The sequence below is a fragment of the Homo sapiens genome, chromosome 12, assembly GCF_000001405.40.
Source record: "Homo sapiens chromosome 12, GRCh38.p14 Primary Assembly".
Classification (NCBI taxonomy): Eukaryota; Metazoa; Chordata; class Mammalia; order Primates; family Hominidae; genus Homo; species Homo sapiens.
Genome location: NC_000012.12, coordinates 89542064 through 89548269, shown reverse-complemented (window position 1 = coordinate 89548269; position 6206 = coordinate 89542064). Strand labels below are relative to the sequence as shown.

The 6206-nt window shown below is 42.9% G+C and overlaps 1 annotated feature.

Annotated features, from left to right (window-relative positions):
* Positions 3086-3155: a silencer, noted in NCBI's record as "silent region_4695". NCBI's record gives its function as "represses an Ori minimal core promoter by ATAC-STARR-seq in GM12878 lymphoblastoid cells {active_cell/tissue: GM12878}" and the evidence as "EXISTENCE:reporter gene assay evidence [ECO:0000049][PMID:35858748]".

The window sequence follows — 6206 nt, the reverse complement described above, 5'->3', positions numbered from 1 at the left end:
ATAGTAAGTGTTCAGTGTTTTCGTTTTGTGAATGAATTGATTAATCTGTGATATGTTGTCCTTCTCACTGGCCTATCAGCTATATCTAATGCAAGTCATTGCATTCTTAGGTCTTTAATAATTCTAGGTCTTTAGTAAGTGTTTTTGATGGGCTGTTTAGCCAGAAGAATCCACTAATTACGCAGCATTTCATAAAATTTTTTCATCTAGTTTCTATTTCATGGAAATGTTTGCCAAAAGGTCATCATTATATGGAGCACCTTTCATTTTTTTCTTTTTATTGAATAAGAATACATGTATAGAAAAGTACAACTTTCATAAGTGCACAGCTTGTTGTAATTTCACAAAAAAAAATTAACTCAGGTAACCAATACCCACAGGAGGAAACACAACATTACCAGCCCCTAGATGCCCCCTCATGCTTCCCTTCCTGACTTCTGATATTACAAATTAGTTTAACACAGTTTATTTTAAAAACACCATATTCAGATTTCAATAGTTTCAGTAATGCTTATATAAAAAACTGACTTTAAAAAATTGATCTGATTTCCTCCGTCACTGACAAAGACAACATAAAAATGGAACTTGTTCTAAAAAAGCACAAATAGAAGGAATTTATCAGAAGCTCACATTTCAAGATAGACTTTCTGGCAAAAATCAATTAAGTATAGACATTGGATATATCTACTTCTACCTCATGTACATTTAGGAAAGACCATGAAATACATTACTTATCAGAAATATATGTCAAGGGCTAAGCTATTGCTTTGTTTCCTTATTGGTTTGCAATATTGATGCTGTTATATCTCTAAGGATTTTCTTAAATCAAGTGAGAAGAAGCTTGATGAAGAATCATTTCACTTAAACTTTAGGGTAAAGAACTGCACAGACGTGGGTGAGCTGTTATTCTTTATCCCCTCACACCCTCAGATCTATTCTCAGCACTTCTCTTCTCTGCAAAAGCTGATGAGTCAGACTTCTTACTGCTTCCCGCCTTTCCCTCAAACCGTACCTCTGGTCTCCCCGGGTATTCCCTATGACCCTTTGATGAGAAAAGAGGGTGACAGTGGCCTGGTCTGGTTTAAGAATTATCTGTCTGGGGTGGCTCTGCAAGCCATAGGAAAATCTTCCCATAGACAGAACTTCAGGAAGTACATCTGGTTGGCCACTGACATGAAAGAAGGGATAAGCTGAGGTTTCCTGAAATACACAGGCAGGGGCTAATGGGTTGGTCAAATTATCAGGGACCTGGAAGGTTGGTGCCAAGATCACCTAAAGGGAAGTTATATAATGGACCTCTAAAAATGGCTAGTCTTTGAGGCTATTTGAATAGCATATAAATGTTCCCCCAGAGGACATCTACCTCACAGAAAGCTAAATGAGGAGGTGGCCAAGATGACCTATCCCTTGGTTGTAGTGAGCCTCCTTCCCTGGCTGCTATGGTCTAAATATTTGTGTCCCTTCAAAACTCATATGTGGAAACCTAATCACCAATGTGAATGGTATTAGGAAGTGAGGCCACTGGGAGGTTAAGTCCCCAGGGAAGTTAAGTGCCCTTATGAATGGGATTAGTGCCCTTATAAAAGAAATCCCAGAGAGCTGCATAGCCCTTTCCACCATATGAAGACACAGAAGGTGGCCCTCTGTGAACCAGGAAATAGGCTCTCACCAGACGCAGAGTCTGCTAGAACCTTGATCTTGAACTTCCCAGCCTCCAAAATTGTGAGAAATAAATTTCTGCTGTTTATAAACAACCCAGTTTACGGCGTTTTGTTAAAGCAGTTGAGCATGCTAAGACACTGGCCATGTTTGTGCTTGGGTAAATGTCTCATGTACAAAGTGGCCATGGGAATAGGAACAGAGGCAATGAAATAAATAAACATGGACTTCCTCACATCACAGCTGATCTGCCACTGTCACTGCTGAGTGCCCAGATTTCTAAAACGGAAGGCAACACTGAACCCTTATTTGGCACTATTTCTTGGAAGTATCAGCCACCCAGGTTGATAATATCAGACCACTACATTATGGAAGGGGCAGGAATTTGTCTTCATGGGAATAATTACATATACTGGAGAGTAACTTCCCTTTCCTGTGCATGTTGCTTCCGCCAGCACTACCATATGTGGTTGATAGGCTGCCTTATTCATCCCCATGGTGTCACACACAGCATTGTCACTGATCAAGGAACTCATTTACAGTGAAACAGCTGTGGTATTACGCTCACATCGTAGAATTCATTGTTCTTACCTGGAAGCAGCTAGATTGATGGAATGATGAAATGTCCTATCGAAGGCTCATTTATGGAGCCTGCTGGGAGACAACATCTTGTGAAGTTGGGGTGCTGTCCTATAAGTGGTCAGATCAGTGGTTGATACATGGTGTTGAATACATGGCTCTGGGAACTCAGGATGAGTAATAACCCACTTCAATAATACTGTCTTCTTGTCCCTAAAACATTGCATCTAATGGGCGTGAGGTTCTTGTGCCCAAGGGGGAGATATATTTCTACTAGGAAACACTGAGAATGCCCCTTCAACATTTCAGGTTGTTCACAACACTGATCAAAGGCAGAGCATTGGCTGTTTGTATGGACTGGTATGATTAATTTTGATTATCAAGGAGAAATTGGGATTTTTGCTATCACATGGAAACAACACTGTATCTAGAGCCCATGGGATTCATTGCACTCCCATGTCCAGTAGTAATGGCCAATGAGAAACGGCAGCAACTCAACAAAGATGGAACCACCCGGATCCTGTGGCAAGGAAGGTTTGGCTCACCCCATCAAGTAAGACACCTTAACTGTCAAGATGCTAGGTGAGGGTAAAGAATTATGGAACGAGTGCTGGGAGGAGGAAGTCAGGATTATTAGATTAGAAATGCTTAGATGTGGAGCTGTAGTATGATAGTTATTTATTTTTTTACCTTTCTTTGCTGCCTTGCATCCTGGTGGTGACTAAAGTTACAGTTTAGGGTCCAGGAAGTAATATGACTGAAATACATCATCACTCAGTGATACAGTAGCTGATGAGACTATGTTTTCCCTGTGTTGAGGACCTGAGTTTCTTTGGCTAAGTAAAGTGTTAGAATGGAAGCTGAGTGACAATAGGGTGGCCTGGGATGGTTATTCTTAGATCTGTTCTCTGCCTTTTCCTGTCACGCTCTGCGGCCTGGGAGGCTGCCCTCTACTAGACCTGTTGTTTCATTTGCTTTTCCTTGCACTCTGGCAAGAAACTACTGGCAAGAGGCCAGAGGGCAGGAGGAGAGCCGGGCCAGGGATTTTTATGCCCTCCTCCTCTTTCCTCTCTGCCACACCGCAGATGAGACAGAGGCTCCAGCTCCCAGGCCCAGTGACCTCTCCTGCACAGTTTCAGCTCTTACCAGGCTGGTAACAGCATCCCCTCCCTTTGTCCCTGCAGACCTCCTGTGGTAAGAGCTAATCCCTGACTGTCTCCCCAGCTCTTGTTGGTTCCATTAACCCTGCCCACGCCTCTGTAAATAATCCCTGTATGAAATTCTCTTCAGCTAAACCCTTTGATGGTGCCATCTGTTTCCTACTAAGGCGTCAGTGGATACAGCAGGAAAAATAGCTGAGAAAGGAGAGAGGTATGGAGGTCAGCTATTGTGAAGTGGGGGAACATTTGAGGGCATATGGCTGGCACATACAGGCCAGAATAAGATGCATTTTCACAGGCTGAAATTGGCCAAGACAAAAAGAGTAATCTCTTCTAGTCAGAGCTCATAGTTGTTGTTTTTTTTTGGTATTGTCAGATAGAGAAAGCCTGCAAAGCTGATTGGGATGTGCCCAAGATTGAGAGGTTTTCTGGGTTGCAGGAATTTCAGTTCTAAAACTGGAACAGTCCTAGGCAAACTGGGATAGTTGGTCACCTTAATCTGTGATTATAATCAGGACTTCTGAGTCTTGCCCAGCTGCTCCTGCTGTAGGGACATTCTAGGCAAAAGGACACTGTTCTAGAACCACTTGGCTCCTCCTCTCCACCCTCAATCAATGGCAGACATCACTTATCTCTCAAGGCATACGTTCTCTACATGCAGTCTGAGATCTCTCTTAACACATGGTTCAGGAAGCTGGTATCAACTGTTCAGAGCTAGAATGCCAGACAAGAACCTTGCTAACACCCCTGAATTAGAGTGAATTAGAGCTTTGGCCCCAAACTCAAAAGCAGGGCTAGACCAAGAAGAGCCTCTAGAGCTCTTTTTTTGCCCTTGTTTCCTTGGGTATTGCTGAAGTAAGTAGCAGCGTGGGTGGCCTTTTTAGCTCCTTTGCACTTGGCCAATAATTAGATCCTACTCATCTCCATCTTTCCATCTACTGTAAGAGCTTCAAGGGCTGACATTGTGTTGTAAGAACAGCAGCTCACACCTTCAACATTAACAATCTGCCCGTTTATTATTCCAAGTGCTGTGTACTTTTTAACCATCTATATGTTAAAGATGAGGAGACAGTTAAATGATTTAAGTGACTTTTCCTAGGTCACACATGTAGCAGACCCAGGACTCAAATGCACTCATTCAGGTTCTTAGTACAGCACTTAGTGCCTCTCTCCTAGTTCCCTCGGATACCCTGCACCTGGCTCAGAGCTTGTCAGGTAGTGAGTGCCTGGTTATTAAATATGTGCTTAAAATTGTTAAATGAATACAAATCTTACCAGGAAATATGTCCCTTTTCATGTCTCCTTTTCCATGGACCCTGCTCTGGTTTTGTTAGGCCTTCTAAGCAAAGGCAACCTTTGACTCAGCTGACTAAACCAGCAGCATGAGAACAGAACAGAGCAGAGAGTGGTCCTTTGTCAATGGGCTCAAATCCAGGTTCTATCAGCCTCTTAATCTAGAAGGTGAGAATTTCAATGGTGCTTACCTCCGAAGAGTTGTGCCAAATGAGTCAAGAACTTGGCACACAGTACATACTTACTTTTAGCTTTGATTATTTTAATGGTTATTCTTGCAAATCAATCCAAATGCAGTAAATAGAAGTGCAAAGGGTAGATTTCCAATTCCAGGAGCAATCCCTTTACTTCTCCAGGCTTCTTCCTCTAGCCGAGGGCTCTTTCCTTGAAGTCAGTTTCACCCTGATCTTTTGATGCACCGCCTTTGGGATGAGTGGAGAGAAATGCTTGAGCTCCCCCTAGAGGATGGCGGTGCTCCTAACTTCAAAACCTTCCATGACGTCCCAGGACCCAGGATTAAAATGTTTTCTGATATTTTCTGTTTGTTCCTCCAAATGTTTGTTCCTCCTTCTGTGCTGGGTGTTTTCTGTTTGTCCCTCGGAAATTGCTTTTTACCCCCTTTTTACTCTCTTCTGGGCTACAGGGTGCTGACTTGTATAGATAGACTCCCTTTCTCTCCAACTTCCAGTTTGATATTAACCAATGGAAGTCATCAATATTGAAGAAGAGGAGAGAGGTTGGGGTATTATTTCCCCAGGCCCCTCCAAGCCAGGCTGCTAAGAGTAGGCAAGATCCCTCTACTAAAGGCCATGGCTTCTATCATGCAGACTTTCAGACTCTAAGATCTCTGGTTCCTTGGTGTTGGCTCCCCTGCTTCCCTCTTCAGACCTAGGGACAGAAATGACTTCCTGCTGTTGCTAGCCCATAGCACAGCACCATCCCAGTTTGCTTTCTCTTAATCCTAACTACACCTTGGTAAATGGTCCCTTTATTAGCTCTCCTCAACTACCCTGTTTGAGAGTGTCATCTGTTTCCTGCCAACCACTACATGCTGTGTCTAAATTCCTTAACAGTTTCATCTTTCCTCCACCTCCCCAGTACCCTGTGCTTCAATAAACACTACTTACAATCTCTGTAATATAATCCTGCTGCTTTGTGGCCCATGATTCTCCCATTAATTCTTATATCCGCAGTGTCCTTGCATTTTCCCTATCCTCTTCACAACCCGCTCTCCACCCTGGCCCTCATACAATGTCAATCCCCTTTCCTCATTAAAGGCTTCAATTCAAAGGCCATGTCTTCTATTCAGTCCTTCCTGATCTCCTTTGGCACACATTTTTTTTCCCATTTCACTGACATCCATGCCTTTTCTGTCCTATTGAGTAGCAGTCTTACATTTGGGTTGGATTCACCTTTTCTCTAGTGTCTATGGAGGGTCTGGGATAGTTTAACTATGTTCCATTAACTGGATTAATACAGGCCTAATCCAACCAATACATGATATTTCCCTGGCAA